Source organism: Homo sapiens, chromosome 1, assembly GCF_000001405.40.
Source record: "Homo sapiens chromosome 1, GRCh38.p14 Primary Assembly".
NCBI lineage: Eukaryota > Metazoa > Chordata > Mammalia > Primates > Hominidae > Homo > Homo sapiens.
In genome coordinates this window covers 183,704,814-183,728,550 of record NC_000001.11, presented here as the reverse complement: position 1 = coordinate 183,728,550, position 23,737 = coordinate 183,704,814, and the positions used below count along the sequence as shown (strand labels likewise).

Here is a 23,737-nt window from a genome sequence, read left to right as displayed (position 1 = left end):
ATCTATAAACATCATAAATCAATACATTTACATATTCTTAAATTTCACATAGAAATGTTTCCAGTTTTCAGGGTAGGGGTTTTAACATATACTTTATTTAATTTAACCCCTTTGGAGTGGTCAGGGTTCTCCAGAGGAGCAGAACCAACTATATATGTATATAAATTGGCTATATATGTATGGAATTGGCTAATGTAATTATGGAGGCTGAGAAGTCAGACCATCTGCCATCTGCAAGCTGGAAACACAGGAGAGCTGATGGTGAACTTCCAGTTCAAGTCCTTACACCTAAGAACCAGAAGAACCAACAATGTAAATTCTACTCCAAGTCCAAAGGCTTGAGAATCAGTAGAACTGATGATATACGTTCCAGTTCAAGTCCAAAGACCTAGGAGCCAATGGTATAAGTTCCAGTCTGACTGCAGGAGACCAATGTCCCAGCTTAAAAACAGAGAGAGGAAATTCTCCCTTTCCCTGCTTTTTGTTCTATTCAGGCTCCCAATGAATTGGATTAGATGAGGCCCATATACACTGGGGAAGGCAACCTGTTTTACTCAGTCTACCCATTCAAATGTTAATCTCATCTAGAAATACTTTCATAGACATACCCAAAAGTAATGTTTAACCAAACACCTGGGCCCCCTATAGCCCAGTCAAGCTAATACACAAAATTAATCATCATACTCACGTATTTCATGCTTTGAGATGCTATTGCAAATAATATTGTCCTTTTTAAAATTTCCATCTGTTTATTGCTAATATATAGAAATGCAATTAATTTTGCATCCTGAAATCTTACTAAAATCACTTATTAGTTCTACTAGTTTTTGGTAGATTCATGAAGATTTGCTGTTTGCTGCATGCTTGATCATGTCATCTGTGAATAAAGACAGTTTTACTTGTAGCTCTCTAACCTATGTGCCTCTTATTTTTCTTCCTCGTCTTACTGCACTGGCAAGAGTCTTCAATAGAATGTTGAAAAGTGGAGAGAGTGACCATCCTTGTCTACTTGATCTTAGGGCAAAAGCACTCAGGTTAAATACTAAGTCAGCAACAGGTTTTTTAAAAAAAACAGTTTAATAATTCACATACCATAAAATTCAAACACTTAAAGTGTAAAATTTGGTAGTTTTTAGTATATTCATAGAAATGTGTCATCATCAGCCTTTTATGAGATTGAGGAGGTTCCTTTCTATTCTTAGTTTACTGGAAGATGATTATGGTACAATATGATAATATGTAATGGATGTTAATTTTATCAAGTGGCTTTTCTGCATTTATTGAAATGATGATATGGTTTTTGTCCCATTATGACAATAAGATGAACTACATTCATTAATTTTGTAATGTTAAGCAACCTTGTATTCCTAGGATAAACATTATTTGATTATCATGTATTACGTTTTTTATATATTTCATTTTCAGTTTGCACATCTTTTGTTGAAGATTGTTGGTCCATGTTCATAAGTAATTTTATTCTGTAGTTGTCTTTATTTGCAATATTTTTGGTCTGGTTTTGAGATCAGAAAAGTGCTGACCATATAAAATAAAAGTATTTCTCCTATATTTTCAAAACAAATTCATATAGTGGTATAGGTTGAACATTCCAAATCCAAAAATCAGCAATAGGAAATGCTTCAAAATCTAAAACTTTTTGAGTAACAACATGGTGCTCACAGAACATGCTCATTGGAGCATTTCAGACTTCAAATTTTTGGATTTGGGATGCTCCACTGGTAAGTATAATGGAAGCATTCCAAAATCAAAAATCTAAAGTCCTTCTGGTCCCAAGCGTTTTGGATAAGGGATTGTCACTTATATTTCTACCTTGAATGTCTGATAGAATTGACTAGGTAATAAACTGACCCGGTAATAGAATTGACCAGGTAATAAATCTGGGCCTATACATTTTTTTATGGAAAGATTTCTAATTACAAATTAATGTGCTTAATTGATATTCAGGTTTTCTGTTGATTCTTGAGTTAGTTTTGATTGTGTCTTTCAAGGAATTTGTCCATTTCATCAAGGTTGTTTAATTTATTAACATCAAGTTTTTTTATAATATTCCCTTAATTATAGACATTTAGTATATAAAGAATCTTAGAGATGTCCCCTTTTTCATTATCTATATTGGTAATATTTGTCATCCTTTTTGTTTTTTTGATCAATATAGCCAGCAGTTTATCTATTATACTGATCTTTCAAAGAATCAGATTTTGATTTCATTGTTCTTCACTGTTTCTCTATTTCATTTATTTCTCTTCTTTACTATTTGTTTCCTACTAGTTTGGGGTTTAATTTGCTCTTATATTTCTAGCTTATGATGGAAGCTTGGCCTGTTGCTTATAGAGTTTTCTTCTTTTCTAATTAAGCTTTTAAGCCTATAAATTTCCCTTTAGGCTGCATTTCACAAATTTTGATATGTGTGTCTTCTTTTCATTTACCCCCAAATATTTTCTACTTTCCTTTTTATTTCATCTTTAAACCATTAATTACTTCAATGTATGCTATTTAATTTCCAAGTATTTTGAGATTTTCTATGTATCTTTCTATTGCTTATTTCTAATTTATTCCCTTGTAGTCAGAAAACATACTCTATATCATATCAATCCTTTTAAATTTCTGGAGACTTGTTTAATGGCTAAGCATGTGGTCTATCTTGGTAAATGCTCCACTGCACTAGAAAAGAATGTATATTTTGCATTTGTTAAGTGACATGTTCTTAAAAATGTCAATTAGTTCAAGTTGATGATTAGTTTAATTCTTCCATATTTCTATTTGTTGACTTGTTCTATTAATTACTAAAAGGAGTGGTGAAATTTGCAATTATAATTGTAGATTTATCTTTTTATCTTTCCAGATCTGTCAAGTGCTTAATGAATTTTGAGGTTTAGTTATAAGGTGAATACACATTTAGGAATGTTATGCCTTATTGATTCATTGACTCCATCATTGTGAAATATTCCTCTTTATCCCTGGTAATAGTTCTTATTTTTTTTGGCTATTAATATAACTAAAACAGCTTTATCTTTTCCCAGCTTTTCTCTTTTGTGTATTTTTATTTAAATAAATTTTTATAGACTACACATAATTGGGTTTTTAAAAGTTCAGCCTTGGCTCAGCAATTCTTCCTGCCATCATGTGAAGGATGCATTTGCCTCCCCTTCTGCCATGATTGTAAGTTTCCTGAGGCCTCCCAAGACATGCAGAACCGTCAATTAAACCTCTTTCCTTTATAAATTACTGAGTCTTGGGCAGTTCTTTATAGCAGTGTGAGAACAGACTAATACACCATCCTTCCTGGGAAAGCTTACCAGGTATTCAAAGGAACTTGGATATTGTCATCTGAGTTTTTGGTCACTGCAGCTGTATCTGCATTAGGGGGACACCTCGAGCTCAGTAACGCTGTGGCTCTTGCAGACTTATAGAGGTACCGCCTTGATGATCTTGGATAAGATTTGGAAGAATTCTCCAGATTACCAGGTAGAGACTCTTATTCTCTTCCCTTACTTTCTCCCAAAGAAACAGAGTCCGTTTCTTTCTCTCTCCTCCTCCTCCTCTTCCCTCCGTGTGTGTGTGTGTGTGTTGTGGTGCCTAGAGCTGGGGGAGAGATGACACAACCACCCCTGTGGCCACTACCACTGGGACTGTGCTAGGTTAGACCTGAAGCCAGCAGAGCTCTGGGCCTCGCTCAAAGCCTGCTATAACCACTATCTGCCTACTGCCTGTGTTCACTCAAGGCCCTAAGGTTCTATAATTAGCAGGTGGTGAAAACAGCCATGCTCATGTCCTTCGCTTAAGGATGGCAAGCTCCCCCCAGGCCCCAGGCAGGTCCAGAGATACCATCCAGGAGCCAGGGCCTAGAGTTGGAAATCTTAGGAATCTCCCTGGTGCTCTATTCTACTGCTGCTGTGCTGACACCCAAACTACAATATAAAGTCCCTCATACTCCTCCCTCCCCCTTCCACAAGCAGAGGAGTCTCTCTTCATGGTGACCACTGCTACAGGCCTGTGAGGAGTACTGCCAGGCTACTGCTGATGTTCACTTAAGGCCCAAGGGATCTCCAGTCAGCTTGTGGTGAATGTTGCCAGGCTTAGGACTCATATGTCAGGGAAGTGGGCTCCCCTCTGGCCTAGGGGACGTCCAGAAATGCTGTCCAAGAGCCAGGGCTTGGAACTGGGGACCCCAAGAGCCCACTTAGTGCTCTACCCTGCTGTGGCTGAGCTGGTACCTAAGCTGCAAGATGAAGTCTCCTTTACTCTTCCCTCTGCTTTTCTCAAGCAGAAACAGTCTCTCCTCATAGCCACCACAGCTGGGAATGTGCTGTGTCACACCTGAAGCCAGCACATCTCAGAGTCTCACCCAAGACCCATGGCATGTACTACCCACCTACCACTGCTGATTATTTTGGGTTCAAGAGCTCTTTTGCTAGCAAATGATGAATCTTGCCAGGACTGGGCTCTTCCCTTCAAGGCAATGAGTTTGCTTCTGGCCCAGGGTGTGTCTAGTAATGTTATCTGGGAGCTAGGGCCTGGGATAGGGGCTTCATAACTCTGCCTAATGCCCTATCCTACTGTGACTGAGCTGGTATCCAAGTTGCAAGACAAAGTCCTCTTTACTCTTCCCTCTCCTTTCTTCAAGCAGAAAGAAGGAGTCTTTTTTGGAGCTGTGAGCTGCACTGCGTGGGTTTGGGGAAGGAGTGGCATAAGCACTCTCTTGGCCATTCCAGCTGGTGTCTCTCTAGGTTGCATGCCCTCAAAATCCACTGGCTCTGAGCCCAGCACTAGGATTGCCTAGGAGTTGCAGTCCTTATGGCCTAGATTGCCTTTCAAGTTTATTTAGAACCCCAGAGCACTTTAGCCTGTGGTGGGGAGGCTTGCCAGAACTCAAGTTCCCACTGCTAGGATGGATAAAGCCCTGCTGGCTAGGGCTGGTCTAAATGCTTCCTCCACGTGCACTGGCTGAGTTCTGCCCAGTATTGTTTCCACTGTGACAGAGCAGCACTGAGTTCCAATGCAAGGTCCCACAGTCACTGTACTCTCCCTCCCGCAAGAGCACAGATTCTCTTTGCTATGCGGCCACTGCCAGGGAACCAGAGAGGGATGGCACTGACAAATCAAGACTGTTTTTCCTATCCTCTTCAGTGCCTCTTTCAGTGACATGAAGTTAAAACCAGGTACAGTGGTCACTCAACTGATTTTCAGTCCTTACGAAGGTGTTTTTTTATGTGGGTAGATAGTTGTTAAATTTGGTGTTCCTGCAAGGAGGACAATTGGTTGAAGGCTTCTATTCAGCCATCTTGCTCTGCCTCCTGCTAGCTGAGTATTTTTAAATTCCATTTTCTCAATACTATTGGTTTATTGGCTATACTTTATTTTTTAATGATTCATCTAGGGCTTTTAATACGCATCTTTATCTTATTTGTCTACCTTGGAAAAACATTACAATATTTTACATAAAATACAAGAATTTTGCATTGGTGTGCTTCCATTTCCCCCCCAATGCCCTTTGTGCTATTGTTGTCATGTATTTTACTTTCTCATGTCATGAATTCCCCCAATATATTGTTGCTGCTGTTTGTTGTTTTAAGCAGTCTACTGTTGCCTTTTTAAAATTTTTTAAATGATGAAATTAGTTTACCCACATATTTATCACTTTCAGAGCTCTTTATTCTTTTGTGTAGATCCACATTATCATCAGGTATCATTTTCCTTCTGCCTGAAGAACTTCCTTTAACAAGCCTTGTACTGCAGGTGTGCTGGCCAACTCTCACAACTTTTCTTTGTCTAAGGAAAGACATGTTTCATGTTTGAAAGGTGTTTTCTCTGGGTCTAGAATTTTAGATTGACAAAATTTGTTCCAGCATTTTAAAGATGTTACTCCATTGTCTTCTGACATGCATAGTTTCCGAAAACTCTGTTGTAATTATTTTTATGTTGTTCCCTGTATGGAATGTGCCCTTTTTTCTCTAATTTTAAGATTTTTGTCAGAATTAGTAACTTGCTGTAATTTGATAATGAAGTTCTTGGTGTGGTTTCCCTAGTAGGTATCTTGCTTCATGTTCCGAGTTTCTTAGCTCTGTGAGTTTATACCTTTCATAAAATATGAAAGATGTTTGGTCATTATTTCTTTAAATATTATCTCTGTTCTCTTTTACTCTCTTCTCTTCTGAAGCCTCCCATTTACATATGTCAGTCAACATGTTATTGCCTCCAGGTCTCTCTTATTTTTCTTGGTCTTTTTTATCTCTGTGTGTAAGCTTCATTTTGGATAGGTTCTATTGCTATGCCTTCAAGTTCATTTATCTTTTTTTTTTTTTTTGGTCCCAGACTATTAAGTGTTCTCTCCTTCTTCTTGGAATCCTCTCCATCATTGACTTCCATGACACTGTTCTGCCCTGTTCTCTTACCTTCTCCAGTGCTCCTCCACAGACTTCTCTGTGGGATCTGCCTTCATGTCCAGCTCCATAAATATTGGTATTCCCTAGTGTTCTGTCTTGACTTTCTTTCCTCACTCCAAATTTTCTCTTTGACTAATTTCATCCCTATCCATGCTTGCAACTGCAATCCACAGATGCTGAATCACAATGGTGAATGAAATAGTCACAGACCCTGACCCTATGAGGTCTTTAATCTAGTGACAGAGATAGTCATTACATAAATGATCACATAAATAATACCATCATCATTGTGATAAGTGTCTTAAAGTAAAAGTAGGCAAGGGAGCTAAACCAAGACACAGGCACAGTGTAGGTCTCTATGAGGAGGTGATGTTTAAGCTGGTCCTTTGAATGAAGTGAGGAAAACACATTCCAAGCTAAGAAAACAGTATCCAAGGTGGCCAAAGGTGAAGAAACTTCATCCTGAAGAGAGGAAACAACAGGCACAAGGGTGCCTAAATTAGAGTGCGCATTTGTATAATAGCAGGTTATCCAAAGATCTGATTACAGATTGGTTGAGCAAAGAAGACAAGATTGGTGAGGTATGCAGAGGACAGAAGGGGAAAGGCGTTTTCTAACATACTGTGGGGTTAAAACTCATACTTACTATTGAGCCTTTGAAAGATTGCACCCAGTGTGAATAAGGACGTGTGCTTGAAGTTAAGAAATCACAGTTTCAGGGAGACAAATTTGGAAGCTATTATAATAGGCAGGGGTAAAATGAGCATCAGGCAGTGGGAGTGGAACAATGGCAGTGGAAATGAAAATAAGAGTTAGACGTATAGATCAAAAAGACTTACATGACAAGGGTGGAATGGATTTGCAGGTCAGGTAGAGACAGAGGAAACAGGAAAATAAAATTCCCACTGAATGACTAAGATTTTAAGAAGGAAACCAGGCTACACAGAGGAATATGATTAGGTGAGTTTTAGTCATGCTGAGAATGAGCAGCCTGTGGTTTTTCCAGATAATATGTTCAATAATTGGTTGGAAACAGAGATCTGGGATCAGGAAGTAAGTCAAGTCTAGAGAAATGGGAGTGAAAGGACATCACTTTCAGCTCCATACATCCAACTGCCAACTCAACATTTCCACCAGGATATCTCAGGGGTTTTTTATTTCCCTCGCAAACTTGATCCTCGTCCAGTGTTCTCTGTTATACTCAATTATACCACCACCCAATCAGAGCTCTCTCCAAGTCATCCTTGACACTTTCCCTTGCTCAGTACCCACATCCAATCAATTACCAAGTCCTTTTCTTTCATCAAAACATATCTCCTAAAAGTCTCAAACAGACATTTTCCTATGCCGCAGCTTCCAACTCCCTAAACCAAGTCACCCTTAACTCACCAAAACTACTTCTTACCCTGGTAGTAGGTAAACTCCTACTCTCTCCCCATCTAATCCATTCTCCACACATTAGGTTCCAGGACTACTACAATAAGCAAAAGAGCCACAGTCCCTAACTTGAAAGGCCTTCAGCTGAAAGAAGGAAGACTGTCAATAAACACTTGTAATATTGACAAGTCAGTAGTATGACAAGGGAAGTGGACAACTTAAGCAAACTGATCCTTTGCCAGAAGTAGGCAGCCCATGGATGCAGGTCTTTGCACATTGGCAGCACCGCTGGGTCAGTTCTTATAGGTTGCATATACAGTTTTGGACCAGTGGGAATGAAATAAAAAGAATGGTAACAAAGCTTGTGTGTGAAGAGGGAGTATAGGGACGGTATGAAAGATTTCACTTCAGGGCATGCATGCTGTGTGGGTGCCAGAGGCAAAGGATTGGCCGTTCTGTGGTGTTTTTTAGGAGCCAGGCACAGACAAGCTGTGTACTTTCAAGCTATCTTTTTACTCTAATATTTTGGCATTAAACTTTCCATTAATGATTTTTAAGGCCTTGCTATAACTCCCTGGTGATTCATCAGTTGTATTTTTCCTTTACTTCATTTCACAATTTTCCTTCTGCTATGTATCTTAATGAATCCTTACTTTTGCTTTTGGCAGACTCTATTTTTTTAACGCTAATTTTTCTACCATCCTTTACCTTCATCTTCCAGTTTCTTTAATCATACTTCCCTCAATAATTTTAAATCCTCTCTCCTTCTAATGCCACCTTCATTCAGCTTTTCTCTTCACCTCACCAGACCATGTTAACTTGCTCCCAAGGTCCCCTTTCCTTTGCAATTTTTTTTTCATTTTTTTTGAGATGGAGTCTCACTTTGTTGCCTAGGCTGGAGTGCAGTGGCACAATCCCGGCTCACTGCAACCTCTGCCTCCAGGGTTCAAGCAATTCTCCTGCCTCAGCCCCCTGAGTAGCTGGAATTACAGGCATGCGCCACCATGCCCAGCTAATTTTTGTATTTTTATAGGGACGGGGTTTCACCCATGTTGGCCAGGCTGGTCTCAAACTCCTGACCTCAGGTGATCCATCTGCCTCGGCCTCCCAAAGTGCTGGGATTGTAGGCAGGAGCCACTGCACCTGGCCTTTAATTTTTTTCTATTTTTTTTTAACATTCTACAGAACACCCTTTGCAAATATTTACTTCTTCCTAGTAATCCCCAGCTGTGTCACACAAAGGCCCTAAGGCCTTAGCAGAACAAAGGAGGAAGCCACAGCAAGGACATCAGGAGACAGAGCCAGTGCCATCAGCTTGTCCTCAGGGAGAAACCAAGTACTCTTCTCAAGATTGCATCTCCCTACACTCTAGAGGTACACGTGCACAGGGAGAGAAGGAAAATCTGTAATTTCCTTGGAATGACTTCAATGAACTACAAGGAGGAGAAGAGACCACACTGTAGTCAAGGTGCAGGACTGCTCAGTAAGTGTCTCAAAACATACTCAACTTGGACTATCAATGAATGAATGAATATCAATCAATAACACATAAAGCAAGTAGGAAAGAATGAAATGAATAGTGTAGTTTGCCCCTAAGTGCTACTCCAGTTCAGCAAAGGGCTAGATTTCACAATTTACCTTTCAGCCTGCTCTGCAACCATATGAAAGATAATAGAGTTCAATCAGCACTATACAGTTGAGAGCAAAGTTATAATGTTGATAATATAGAAAACATTGTTCAGCCCTTATTGTGAGATTAGCACTTGACATGCATTATCTCATGTAAACTTCAAATTTCCTCCTTCTTAGGTGCTTTTTGTGTTTGTTCGTTTTCGTTTTTTTGTTTTGTTTTGTTTTTTTTAGACAGAGTCTCACTCTGTTGCCCAGGCTGGAGTGAAGTGGCAAGATCTCGGCTCACTGCAACCTCCACCTCCCAGGTTCAAGCGATTCTCCTGCCTCAGCCTCCTGTGTAGCTGGGATTACAGTAATGTGCCACCATGCCCGGGTAGTTTTTTTTTTAGTAGAGACGGGGGTTTCACCATGTTGGTCAGGCTGGTCTCGAACTCCTGACCTTGTGATCCACCCACCTCAGCCTCCCAAAGTGCTGGGATTACAGTTCTGTTTTACAGATTCAGATGCTGTTGCTCACAGAACTGACTCTTCATCACACGACCAGTAGTAGTGGATCCAGGATTCCAACTTAAGCAGCCTAAACTCAAAGCCCATATTCTAAGCTACTATGCCAGTGGTTTTGAAAGTCCTTTGCTCATGTATCCCCAAAAACATTTTAATAAACTATTTACCACTTGTTCATTTTAGGTTGATATGAAAAAGTTTTCATTGTAAGTTTAAATATTTGCAAATGATATAATTTCTAGTGTATGGTGACTATTGAAATAGTTTAAATATCACAAACTTATGTCATTCCTTTAAATGTATCCAGTGGGAATATAAATACCAAAGCAATTTGATCTCCATCAGCATCCATTTAAAATATACATAAACAAGCTCTCTCTCTCTCTCTTTTTTTTTTTTTTTTGAGACCAAGTCTCCCTCTGTCGCCCAGGATGGAGTAGAGTGGCACTAGCAACCTTCACCTTCCAGGTTCAAGCGATTCTCCTGCCTCAGCCTCCCAAGTAGCTGGGACTACAGACGTGTGCCACCATGCCCAGCTGATTTTTTGTATTTTTAGTAGAGATAGGGTTTCACCGTGTTAGCCAGGATGGTCTCCATCTCCTGACCTCGTGATCCACCTGTCTCAGCCTCCCAAAGTGCTGGAATTACAGGCGTGAGCCACCGCACCCAGCCATGAACAAGCTCTTTTTAACAGAAATAAGCTCTGCTTCCCTTCCACCATATCCATGCCCCAACCTGAGAGGATGTATTTGCTCAAGAGGAGAGAAGACTTCTTCTGTGCTCATACCAAATGCCACTTCCTCTGAGAGGCTTTCTTTGACCACCCTCCTGCTTACCTTCTTCATAGCATTTATCATGGTCTAAAATTATCTTGCACTTTTGCTAATTTACTTGTTTATGCCTCCTCCACTAGTTTATCAGCCACAAGGGCGGAATCTATCTCAATCATCACCCGAGTACACACAGTCACTCCTTTAGCTTCTTGAAATTGTATTTCTGTTTCACCTTTGCTATAGAATTTTCTCTTAGGGCAAAATAGTTTTAAATTTAAAAGTACCAAATATAAATAAAAAATATTTTTTAAGTTTCTGTCACTATCAGGCTATAAGTTAAATAATGTTTTACTGAGCTGTATTCTCAATTATGAGTGGTACATAATTGATCAAAACAACATAAATACATATACTTTTCATAAATTATTACTAAACATAAAAAGCAAAACTTTTATTATAAATATACTCTTTAATGTGCCAGATGGAGAAAGTATGTTTAATATCTTGAATATAAGTGACACATATTTTAAAAAATCACTTTGGTGCCCTAGAGGTTTCTACACTTGGAACAATGAACTATGCAAGATGCAGGCTGAGTAAGCAGTAGACTTTCATTTGTAAAGGTAGAGAAGGGCAACTGTGAAAGAGGTGGGAAAGAAGAACTAACAAAATTCTTTCATTGCAGATGTTCTTTGATCAGTTTAGGAGTAGGTACATATAAAAATTAAAGATAACTGATCCTCTAAAAATGCTGGCTGTAACACCTAACCCTTTGGAAAAATCTTCATGTGGGCCAGGGGCACACACCACTTAGAAGACCCCTAAAATACAGTAAACTGCCACCCATGAATCAATGCTTACTATGCCCAGTGAATAATAATTTATCCAGTACAGGATCAAAAGAGCCCCCAGACTTGGCTCCCTGATTTGCCAGTATTAAGTCCTACATGAGACAAAGTTTGCTGCATGAACCAGGACCTTCACTGCATCCAGGCAAAGAACTAGCTGTCTTCACACAGAACATTTTCTTTTAAAGAGCAAAACAGAGACACAGAATTCTAGAGCAAGAAGGTATTTGGGATATCAACAAGCTTTTACATTTTACAGACAAGAAAAGATCACCAGCCAGTTAATAGGAAAGCCAATTCCAGAATTCAGATCTTCTGATTCTTTATACAGGGTACAGTGGACATGCTGGGATATGGGCTGCCCAGCCAGGGACTACATTTTTCAGCCGCCCCCAAACAGTTAGGTGCAGCCATGTGACTGAGTTCCATGCAAAAGAATGTGACAGAAAAGACTTGGGCCATTCCTGGCCTAGCTCATAAAATCCTCCCATGTGGCACTTCTCCATGCTCTTTTCTCCTCCCAGCTGGTTGAGATGAAGACAACATTTGGGCTGACTTCAGAAGCTACATATTAAAGATGAAGAGGCCTCTTTTAGCAGGGACTCTGCTGACCTGGTAACTTGATCAGTACTTTGTAACAAGCAAGAAATAAACTTCTTTTATGATTAAGCCAGTAGAAATTTTGGAGTCTATTTGTTATAACAGTTAGCTTACCCTAACTAAAACATACAGTTTTTATCTGTGTTTATATTTTTAATAGCATATCACCTTTTCCCCTTAGATCGACTGAGTCACTTCAACACCTCTTGAAGTGTAAAAACATAATAGTTCTAGTATATTGTAATGGTTAACTTATTTGTCAACTTGGCTGGGCAATGTGGTATCCGGATAGTTGGTTTAACATTGTTCTGAGTATGTCTGTGAGAGTGTTTCTAGATAAGATTAACATTTGAATTGGCAGAATGAGTAAAGCAGATTGCCCACCCCAATGTGGGTGAGCCTCATCCAATTCATTCATTGTCTTTGAGCTGGAACATTAGTCTTCTGTCTTCAGTCCTCTCCTCAGACTAGAACTTACACTATCAGCTCTACTGGTTCTCAGACCTTCAGAGTTGCACTAGAACTACAACATCAGCTCTCCTGAGTCTCCAGCTTGCCAACTGCAGATTCTAGGACTTCTCAGCCTCCATAACCACATGAGCCAATTCCTTATAGTTTCTTTCTCCATCGTTCCCTCCCTCCCTCCCTCCCTTTCTACATGTATAGTTATAGAAAGATACAGGTATAGATATAGATATAGGTCTCCAATTGGTTCTGTTTCTCTGGGTAATCGAGACTAATATGTATCTGAAGATAATAGTTTGGTTTATGAGCTAAGGATTGCATGGGCTAATTGGCAAAATAATAGCAATTCTTAGTTACTTGGTGTTATGTGAAAATAAAGTGTTAATAGTCTCTGTCACCTAATTATTTAAGATGCTAGTGAAAGCATAGTACCCTGAGAAACAAGGCTTACACCTAAAAGAAACAAACTTCTACAGTCTCCAATGGTCCTCTTAGCACACTATCCTGGGAGACAGACGTGTGAAAATCTATATAACAATCAGTTCACCATATATAACAATCAGTTCACCAACAATCAGTTCACCAACAATGAGGTGAGGTTGGTTGTGTAACAATCAGTTCACCAACAACGAGGGAGGAAAGGGGGTGGACTAAATCTTCAAAGCCAAACATCACTAAAAAAAACAAAAAAAACAAGATCAAATGTAGAATTTGTGACCTGGAAGGAATGTCAGAGATCATCCAAACATTTTCTTTTCAATGAGGCTCAGAGAGGGAAACTGGGCAGTAACTTTTGGGTAGTATTATATAGGCTGGGGTTCAAATGAAGCTCTGCCACTTATTAGCCTGTATAACCTTAATTTAAAAAAGTTTCCTAACCTTTCTAAGCCCCGGTTTCCTCATTCCTAAAATAAGAATAACCATCCCTACCTAGTAGGATGGTAATTAGGACTAAACAAGGTAAAATATATATAGCATGGCAATGGCTCGATCAGAATCAGAACCTAAGCTTCCTCACTCCACCCCAGTTCAATGCCTTTCCACCTGCACCAGACTGCCTCCAACTCCCAGTTCACACCCTGTGAGCAACGGGTCTTCATGTACTCTCCAAGACTCACTGATGCCGACCCATCAAGCTCTTTCAGGTGGCTGGGAGCTGGTACAGTGCAAATATCTGTTAACATCTATACTCTTCTTTCTGGCCTTAAGCATTCGATACAGTTATTAAAAGATAAAAAGACACTTGTTCCCTGTGGCATGCTGTGACAGTACTATGGAAAGAATTTACTGTCAGTCAGAGGGCATAAGTCTTAACTCCAGTTCTTATACGTCCTTAGTCTGTGCTCCACAGGGCTTTGGTTTCCTCAGGTACAAATCAAGGGGCTTAAATTACATAATGAGGCAGAGATTATCATTGATTCTAAAATTCTATTTGTTCACTAATGTTTCATCAAAAGCATCATCTTCCCTTAATCCTGGTGTGTGAGTCTCATTTCAGTGATTTTGTGGCATTGGGTGTTTCTGTGCATGCTGGCAAAGCTAGAATAGATGGAATAGGTTCTCTAAATGATCTTTTATACTAAATTAGTCCTCAGTTTAAAAAGGGACAAGATAGACCACCTTGCAAAAACTGTACATGGTCATCAGAAAGCTGAACTGCATTGTTCTCTGGCATGGGTTTGAGTATGATTCAAATGCAAAAAAATGGAAAACCCAGTAGTAGGGTTAAGTTAACATCACAGGGGCATCTGCATGAAATAAGAAAATAAATATCTGCCCAATAAGAGGAAAACTTCCCCACCCATGACATGTGTTCATTCAAAAAATATTTTTGGAAAGCGTGAAAAATCTTTGGGTAGTGATTTCACAGAAAATCACTGCGGTGGAAACAAGCTCCATATTTCTCGTGGCTTAAGATTTTAGCACTTATGACATCCATGCAAATGATCCCAAAAGGCAAGCATGAGCCAATACCCAGAGATCACTCCTAATAGGAGGTTATAGCCCTTTTTCGATTGATTCATTCATCAAACAAATATTTATTGAGCACCTTAAATAAATGTCAGGTCATATCTAGGGCCTAGGGATACAGCGGTGAATAAAATATGCAAAATATCTCTAGATTCATGGTATCTTAGTCCAACAGGGCTTCTATAACAAAATATTATAAACTGAATGGTTTATAAACAACAGAAATGATTTCTCACAGTTCTAGAGGCTGGAAAGTCCAAGATCAAAGCTCTGGTAGATTTGGTGTCTAGTGAAAACCCATCTTCTGGTTCACAGACAGTGCTTTCTCCCTGTGACCTCACATGGTAGAAGGGATGAGGGATCTCTGTGGAACCTCTTTTATAAGGCCTTTAATCACATTCATCAGAGTTCTGCCCTCATGACCTAATTACCTCCAAAAGGCCCCACTCCCAAATGCCATCGCATTGAGAAAGGAATTTTGGGAGAATATGAAAATTTATAGCACATGGAAATCACATTCAACTGGCTAATTTATCCCTTATCCTGGAATTTTTAAGATAAAGTTTCAGTCAAAAGGGTCATTATAAAAGCGGGGGGGGGGGGTGCCTCTAGATTTTTTTTTCAAAAAGGCAATACAACTCCTTTTAAAATCCTCCATCCCAGCCAGGTGCAGTGGCTCATGCCTGTAATCCCAGCACTTCAGGAGGCCAAGGATCACCTGAGGTCAGGAGTTCGAGACCAGCCCGGCCAACATGGCAAAACCCCTTCTCTACTAAAAATAGAAAAATTAGCCATGCATTGTGGTACACGCCTGTAATCTCAGCTACTCGGGAGGCTGAGGCAGGAGAATCACGTGAACCTGGGAGGTGGAAGTTGCAGTTAGCCGAGATCATGCCACTGTACTCCAGCCTGGGCGAGAGAGGGAGACTCTGTCTCAAAACAAAACAAAAAAAATCCTCCATCCCACTGACACACACGATCATCAAAGGCAAAGGAAGGCCATGCAGGTGATAGCTATGCTGTGGTCTGTTCAATGCCAACTGATAAAAATCACCTCCTCACAGTTGATTTGCTCACCTGGGGTCTTCAATAATCTGCAGTGGCAAAATTAAGATTCCACAGGGACTTTTCAACCTGTTCCTTTTATAAGAATGCCACAAAACATTTATTTTAGACCAGAAAACTTGATTTCCACAATTCCATTCTACTTTAGGAGCTGGGATTAAGGTCTATATGAGACTATCATTCTCGACTGCCCTTGCTATCAGCCAAACTCTGCAACAATGAAGACATAAACTAAATTATCATATGACTTACCATGTTAGCTTCCTTGTCCAAAAAACAAATCATCCTAGCAAAACATGCTTCATGCCAAGCCTCCAAAACCTAAATAGAATGTGGCCCATTGGTAATCACAAGTGAGTGAATAGAAATTGTTCACATGAATGTGTGTGCATGTGTGCACACGTGCACACACACACACTCTCTCTCTCTCTCACTCTGTCTCTCTTTTATTCATTCACTCAAGCACACACGAAGAGTTCCTAAGTCACAGGATTAAATCACCAGCAGGAGTTATTGCAGCTGAACTAAAAATGAATCGCTTACAACCTGAGGCTGCCCTTCTAGCCACTGAAGTTTCTCTCCCATTAGAGTTGACAATGGCAGGCTGTCAAGTGAATACCTCACGGCCTCCTCCTGCTGTCACAGGCCTCACACTGTAGCTTTACAAAGATAAAATAAAAACCACATGCCAGTCAGCCCTTCTTAAACTAGTTCTGTGCAACATCTGTCAAGGGCCCTCCCAGGCCAGTTCCTGCCAGGAAATTACTACTGCCCAAGGAATGGCCAACAGTTCAAACATAGCCCCTCACTGGGTCTCTTAGTAATTATTTTTCTCATTTCCATGGCTCTTCAAATTTGGAAAATACTTTATGTTCATTTTAATTACATGATTTAGGGTACTTTAATCCTCAGAAAAACCTTGCCAAGTAAATCTGCACTGCTACTCTAGATTTATAGATGGGAAAACTGAGAGGCTTACTCAAGACCACACAGCACTTTGCATCTGTGACTAACGATTTAGCTCTTGGGTGGATAGAGTCTTGTAATAGTATCTATTTGCTATCAGAGATGTCATCAGAGGTGTTAACTGTGAATGTCTTCTTCTTCTCCGCCCGCCCCCACACCCCATTCCCAGCGTTCTGTTAACATAGTAAATGCTTGTGAGAAACTTAATGAGTTATGGCAACCAGGGCTAAGCTCAAGACAGTTGCCAAATCCACTCACAGGTTCAATTGAATGTAGAGCTGACCTCTCCAGATAATTATAACAGGACATGGAATGAATTCCCCTCCAAGGCTTTCCAAGGGGAAAACTAAAGGCCCCTAGACTCTCACCTTTGTACCCCATTCAACCTTACTAATCTTAAGAGGCGGTTGGAAAGACCCAGTAAGAGTGGGCTATAGTATTTCACTCCTCTCTAGAGTGCTTCTCTGTCACCTCACCCCCCAACACCTCCTACATACTCATTAAGTGCAGTGGTGGGTGGGAGAGTTGGAGGGCTCCCAGAAAACTGCTCACTGAGGCTGGGAGAGACTGCAGGCTCCATGGGCTGAATGTCATTGAACTACATCCAGGGACAGTTCATGAGAGAAAATGACAGATGTCCTCTGGAATCTGGGTGCCTATGAACACAGAGCTTGGGTTCTGCTTCTCACTGAAGAGTTGGTTGGAACCAGTGTGCAAAAGTAGAGTGCAGAGGGTGTGCAGCAGGCTACCCTTTGCATAACGATGTGAGTTGCCCAGGATCTGAGTGCACACTGCAAAGGGTAACCCAGCCTTGAGACATCGTGTGTGACCCGGCCTAAAAGGGCTGACTCAATAACAGGTTGTGGGGTCAACCTCCAGGAGCAGGAGCTCAGGATAAATTCAAAGAAGGGTAAAGCAGAGACATCCCAAGTGAGAGGCCTCCAAAGATGCAGAAGTGTAGCTCAGGAGAGAGAAGACATATGTAAGCATGTCACATCTGGAAAGCATCAAGGGCCAAGAGAAAGATGGCACCCAGATAAGCAAGGGATTTTTGCCCTTTTCCTTCTAGTTATCCACTTCCACTACTTCTGTGATCCTGGTGATATGGTTTGACTCTGTGTTCTCACCCAAATCTCATCTCAAATTGTACCTGGTGGGAGGTGACTGGATCGTGGGGGCAGTTTTCCCATGCTGTTCTCTTGATAGTGAGGGAGTTCTCATGAGATCTGATACTTCAAAAGTGGCAGTTTCCCCTGTGTGCTCTCTCCCTCTCCTGCCACCATGTGAAGAATGTCCTTGCTTCCCTTTTACCTTCTGCCATGATTGTAAGTTTCCTGAGGCCTCTCTAGCCAGGCAGAACTATGAGTCAATTAAACCTCTTTTGTTTATGAATCACCCAGCCACAGGTAGTATCTTTACAGCAGTGTGAAAATGGACTAATACACCTGGGAAACACCTGCCAAAAAACAGGGGATGCAAAAACAAAAGAGCAAGAGGTCTGCCCTAGTCATGCCTTTCAGGAGTTCAAGTATGATAACCTTCCCCCTTACCACCAGTGCCTTTCCTGACCAGATCTCCGTCCTTACCCTCCTCCAAGTCTATACAGGGACCCAGGCACCTTCATAGGTCTTGGAGAGGTAAAGATGGTTCTCAAGTAGCAAGTTGGGGCTTAGAAGAAAGTGGGGGTGCGGGGGAGGCAGGCAGGAGAATGAGCTCCCACAGCACTGGTAAGAGTGTGCATCGAAGAGCCTGCAGTACCGAGTGGACCACCTGCTGAGAGCCATGAAGCGTGAGCAACAAGCCAGGCATTGAGAAGGGTGACCATGTAGAGTGAAAGTGGCACATAGGCCTGGAGGAGAGCAAGTTGTGGCTATGCTTCAAGGAGCTCACCAATGACATGATCACCACCAGGAATGCCAGGAAGTTGTTTCCAGTGCCAAGCATGTCTGGCCTGGCTTTAAGAGCCATGTACTCCTTCTTGCTGGACTTCATGGAGGCCCACAGTAAGCGCTGGAAGAAAACCAGGAGTGGGAACCAGGAATGGGTGCCAGAGGGCAAGCCTGAGCTGCAGGTGCTCAGGTGTGTGCCCATCCAGCCCAATTCCCCCAACTCAGGGCCCTACTAGATGAAGGTGTCCATCTCCCTCAGCAAAGTCAAGATCAACAACTAGCTACACAGAGGGGGCCTGATTATGTCAAACTCCTTAATAAGCACCAGCCTCGAATTCACATAGTGAGAGTGGGGTGTCCACAACACATGATCACTAGCCATTGCTTTCCGAGACCTAGTTCATAAATAACTGTGACAGCTTATCAGAATGAAGAGCTCACAGCTGAAAATTAAACACAATCCATTTGCAAAAGCTTCCCTGGATGCAAAGGAAAGAAGCAATTACAAAGATATGATGGAAGAACTCCAAGGCAGCCAGGAAGAACCCCAATCTAGGAACTCCCATTCAGTGGGTAGCTTATTCCTAGAACCAGTACCTTCTGTCCACCTGCCAACCCCCATCCTCAGTTTGGAGGCCTCCCTCACTTCCTTCCACATACAGCTGTGAAAGGTACCCTGCCCTGAGGAACCAACATTCATCCTCCTACCCTAGCCCTGTGCTCACTGGAACAGTTCTCCAACACATTCTTGAAAGACTTTCCCTGAGGCCTGGAAGCTGGGCGGGAAGAGGGTGAGGGGGTGAATAACTCATCCCTTCTCAGGCCCAGTCCCAAGGCGCAAGAACACTTGCGCCAGCAGCGTGCATCAGCAAGACAGCAGAAGCAGGAAGAGAGACGGCCGGCAGAAGACACGTACCCCCTGAAGGCTGAGAGAGAGGCCGTCCGGGTACCCTGTAGCAGTTACATCAGACTGAGGCACTTCCTGTTTACAGGAGACTATAAAACCCCTGCCCGGTCTCATTTGGTGCTGATGCCATTTTAGGTCTCAGCCCATCTGCACCCAGGCACACATTAAAACAGCGCGTTGCTCCACACCGCCTTGTGGTGTTCATTGGCGCGCTCTCGGGGTTCAAACTGATACAAGAGCCTTACATCTGGTGCCGAAATCTGGAAGGGGCCCCGGTCCGCGTCCCTTGTGTCCTTCCACCCTGGACGGTAGTCCACAGCAACCGGACAAAGGAAGCTCCTCAGCCTCCAGTCACCTCTCTGTGCATGCACACCAGTCACTGATCTCATCTACTGATAAATTTCCCAGGAGCCGGGTTAACAGAGAAAAATCCACGTGGCCTCTCTTGGTTTCTCCAATCCAAAGATCCAATGTTGGTCCAAGAAGGCTCTGGCATGTGCCAGGCACTCACTGATCATCTGGTCTTAGGGGGATGCCTCTAAGCCTGGTTGGGGACTGCCTCTGTGTCACTAGGCTGGGCAGGAGCTTGGTGATGAATTGTATCAGCATGCGCCTGAGCTAGGGTCCAGATACGGTCCCAGTCTTCTGGGGTGAGGGTGGAAGAGAGGATAACATAGAGGTCATGCCAGGTTAGTTCATAAGACTGGGTGAGGCACTGAAACTCTCTAATATAAGAGGTAGGGTCTTCTGGAAATGAACCAAGTCTTGTTAATTTGGGAGAGATCAGTGAGGGGGAAGGGAACATGAACAAGGCCTTGAAAAAGGCAGCAGTGACGATCGCTCCTTTTATCATCTCCCTCCGGCCGTCCAGGATGGTCTCCTTTTCCCTGTTCTCCCGAGCCTACCCTCCGTTATGGGAAATTCCCAGTCTTCCATTCCAAAAGGCAGCCTCTAGACTGCCTCATAAAAAACCTGCAGACCTTAGGCCTCATGCAAGATATCCGCCCTAAGCGCCTTGTCTTTTTTTGCAATTCAATCTGGCCACAGTACGAATTACATAACAGGTCCAAATGGCCCACAAATGGAACATTCGACTTTATAATTTTAACTAATTTAAGCAATTATTGCCGACAACTGGAGAAATGGGGAGAAATTCCTTATGTCCAGGCCTTTTTGCACTCAGATCACAACCTGACCTCTGCAATTCTTGCTCACCTGTTCAAATCATTCTCCTCCATTCTCACCACCCAGATCGCCTTCCTCCTCCCCACCCCACCTCTTTTTCCTTGTTTGATCCAGCAGTCTGCTGTCTACCTCTCCCAGCCCCTACCTCTCCCCTCTCAACCATCTTCTTTAACCCCCAAGCCTCCTCTTTAGCTTCTCAGCCGCCATCTTCCCAGCTGCCATCTTCCCAGTCAGCTGTATTCACTTCTTTTTCTACACCGTCCCCTCCTCAGGACAATTCTAGAATTGCCTGTACCCATTGTCCTCCCCCAGCGCCCTCTCCTGAGGCTTGCAAATTCATCCCGCCACCTTACGCCCCTATCTTCCACTGCCTGTTAACTCAACCCCCCTTTCCCCATTCAAACCCTCAGCAGGAACCACTTCCAGGCTCTTCCTTCTCTCCTTCCCATACTCGCTCAGGTGCCATCTTTGGCCCATGCCCCACGCTTACTTCAGCGCCTGTGCTAGAGTGCCCACTTTGGGAAGTAGCAGGAACTAAAGATATTGTTAGAGTTCATGTTCCCTTCCCCCTCACTGATCTCTCTCAAATTAACAAAAGACTCGGTTCATTTCCAGAAGATCCTACCTCTTATATTAGAGAGTTTCAGTACCTCACCCAGTCTTATGAACTAACCTGGCATGACCTCTATGTTATCCTCTCTTCCACCCTCACCCCAGAAGACTGGGACCGTATCTGGACCCTAGCTCAGGCGCATGCTGATACAATTCATCACCAAGCTCCTGCCCAGCCTAGTGACACAGAGGCAGTCCCCAACCAGGCCCCCCACTGGGATTATCAAGACAGGGCCCCTGGACGCCGCCATCAAGACCACATGATTGTGTGTCTCCTTACAGGACTCAAAAAGGGTGCTCATAAAGCAGTCAACCATGAAAAGCTTTCAGAAATCACCCAAGGTCCCGACAAAAACCCAGCCCTTTTCTGTCTCGTTTAACTGAAGCCATGAGAAAGTATACCAACCTAGACCCAGACAGCCCAGAAGGAACCACTATCTTAAACCTTCAGTTCATCTCCCAATCCACCCCCAGTATTTGGCGCAAGCTTCAGAAGCTTGACGACAGCCTTCAAACCACACGAGACCTTCTTAATTTAGCCTTCAAAGTCCTTAACAATCGTGATGAGAAAAGTAAAAGGCAAAAAACAGGCAGAGTTTCAAATGCTTGCCTCTGCCATCAGGGGCTCTGTGGGCCCACGGGGGCCGCAGCTCCACACAGAAGCCTCCTAGCAATCCACCTCCACCTGGTGCCTGTTTCAAGTGTGGCAATGAAGGCCACTGGTCCAGACAATGCCCAAACCCAGGTAAGCCCACCAGGCTGTGCCCCCTCTGTGGAGGACCCAACTGGAAGTCAGACTGTGAGCAGCCCCCACAAGGACTGCCCCCATCCCTTCCTGAGCCAGTCAAAACCTCCTACTCGTATCTCATCAGCCTTGCTGCTGAAGACTGACAGTGCCCTGGAACAGACACCCCGGCAACTACCATCTCTTCATGTGATCCAAGGGTAACCCTGATGGTGGCAGGTAGGCCAGTATGTTTTTTAATTAATACCAGGGCAACCTACTCTGCTTTACCTAATTTTTCAGGACCCACCCAGTCCTCCCAAGTCTCTGTTGTGGGAATTGATGGACAAGTCTCCAAACCCCGAGCCACCTCTCCACTTTTCTGCTCCCTGCACACCTTTTCCTTCACTCACTCTTTCTTAGTCCTGCCCTCATGCCCAACTCTGCTCCTAAGTAGAGACATCCTTTCAAAACTCCACACTACTCTCCACTTCCACATTCCCCATAGTACCCAACGCATCAACCCAGACCCCTCTGGGGCTTCTAACTTTCTTCTACTCCTCCAACCTCCCACCTTAAAACATGCAACCTTTCCTTATCCCCCATCCATAGTTAACCCCACTGTTTGGGATACTTCCACACCCTCAATCACAAAACACCACACCCCTGTCCACGTTACTCTTAAAGTCCCCACCCAGTTCCTATCACAGAAGCAGTATCCCATCCCCCAAGCAGCTCTCATAGGCCTAAAGCCTATCATTTCTCACCTCCTTGTCAGTCACCTACTCTGCCCAACAGACTCCCCTTTTAACACATCAATTCTACCTGTCAAAAAGCCAGATGGAACTTATTGCTTAGTCCAGGACCTCAGGCTCATTAACCAAGCCATACCCCTAGTATGTCCAGTAGTTCCTAAACCATATACTTTACTTTCTGCAATTCCCTCCAACACCACCTGTTTTTCTGTTCTAGACCTACAGGATGCTGTTTTCACAATTCCTTTACACCCTGATTCCCAAAACCTCTTTGTCTTTACATGGGAAAACCCCGACACCCACCTTTCACATCAGCTTACCTGGTGCATACTAACTCAAGGTTTCAGAGACAGCCCCCACCTTTTTGGGCAGGCCCTGGCTCGTGACCTCTGTACCTTATCCCTAAAACCATCCACTCTCCTTCAGTATGTTGATGATCTACACCTATGTAGACCCTCTCAAAGAGACTGCAATGTCCATACCATCTCTCTTTTAAACTTCTTGGCAGAATGGGGGCATCAGGTCTCCCCTAAGAAAGCACAAATAAGCACCCCCCCAGTCACCTATCTAGGCCTAGCTCTTACCCCGCAAACCCGAGGGCTCACAACCGATGGCATATCCCTCCTCCAGTCCCTCCCACCTCCACAAACTAAGCAAGAAATTATCTCTTTTCTAGGACTAGCAGGATATTTTAGGCTCTGAGTTCCCTCCTTCACTCTACTCACCAAACCGTTATACCAAGCCACTAAAGGCCCTCTCCATGAGCCTTTAAACCCTGCACTGCCTATTACCTAACCTTTCCGTCTACTCCAGAAGGCTCTCGCCTCAGCCCCCGTCCTCACTCTCCCAGACCTAGACCTCACCAAACCTTTCTCCTTCTACACCAATGAATGATGTGGAGTTGCAATAAGTGTTCTAACCCAGTCTAAGGGACCCACCTTCCAGGTTGTTGCCTAAACAGCTTGAAGCCACAGTTCTTGGATGGCCTGCCTGCCTCCAAGCATTGGCGGCAGCTGCTATCCTCACCCTTGAAAGCTTAAAACTATCTCTTCATGCCAACCTA

At 42.9% G+C, this 23,737-nt stretch overlaps 1 protein-coding gene and 1 pseudogene across 10 annotated transcripts in view, besides 1 other annotated feature; one reads left to right on the top strand and one right to left on the bottom strand.

Annotated features, from left to right (window-relative positions):
- Positions 1-23,737, bottom strand: part of RGL1 (ral guanine nucleotide dissociation stimulator like 1) — a 292,424-nt gene that overhangs the window by 199,982 nt on the left and 68,705 nt on the right. The window lies entirely within an intron of this gene.
- Positions 4,234-4,734: an enhancer, noted in NCBI's record as "H3K27ac hESC enhancer chr1:183692952-183693452 (GRCh37/hg19 assembly coordinates)". NCBI's record gives its function as "activates a minimal SCP1, AML or CMV promoter by ChIP-STARR-seq in primed H9 embryonic stem cells {active_cell/tissue: H9 hESC(primed)}" and the evidence as "EXISTENCE:reporter gene assay evidence [ECO:0000049][PMID:30033119]".
- On the top strand, positions 18,236-19,240 carry LOC100420254 (T-box transcription factor T pseudogene; annotated as a pseudogene).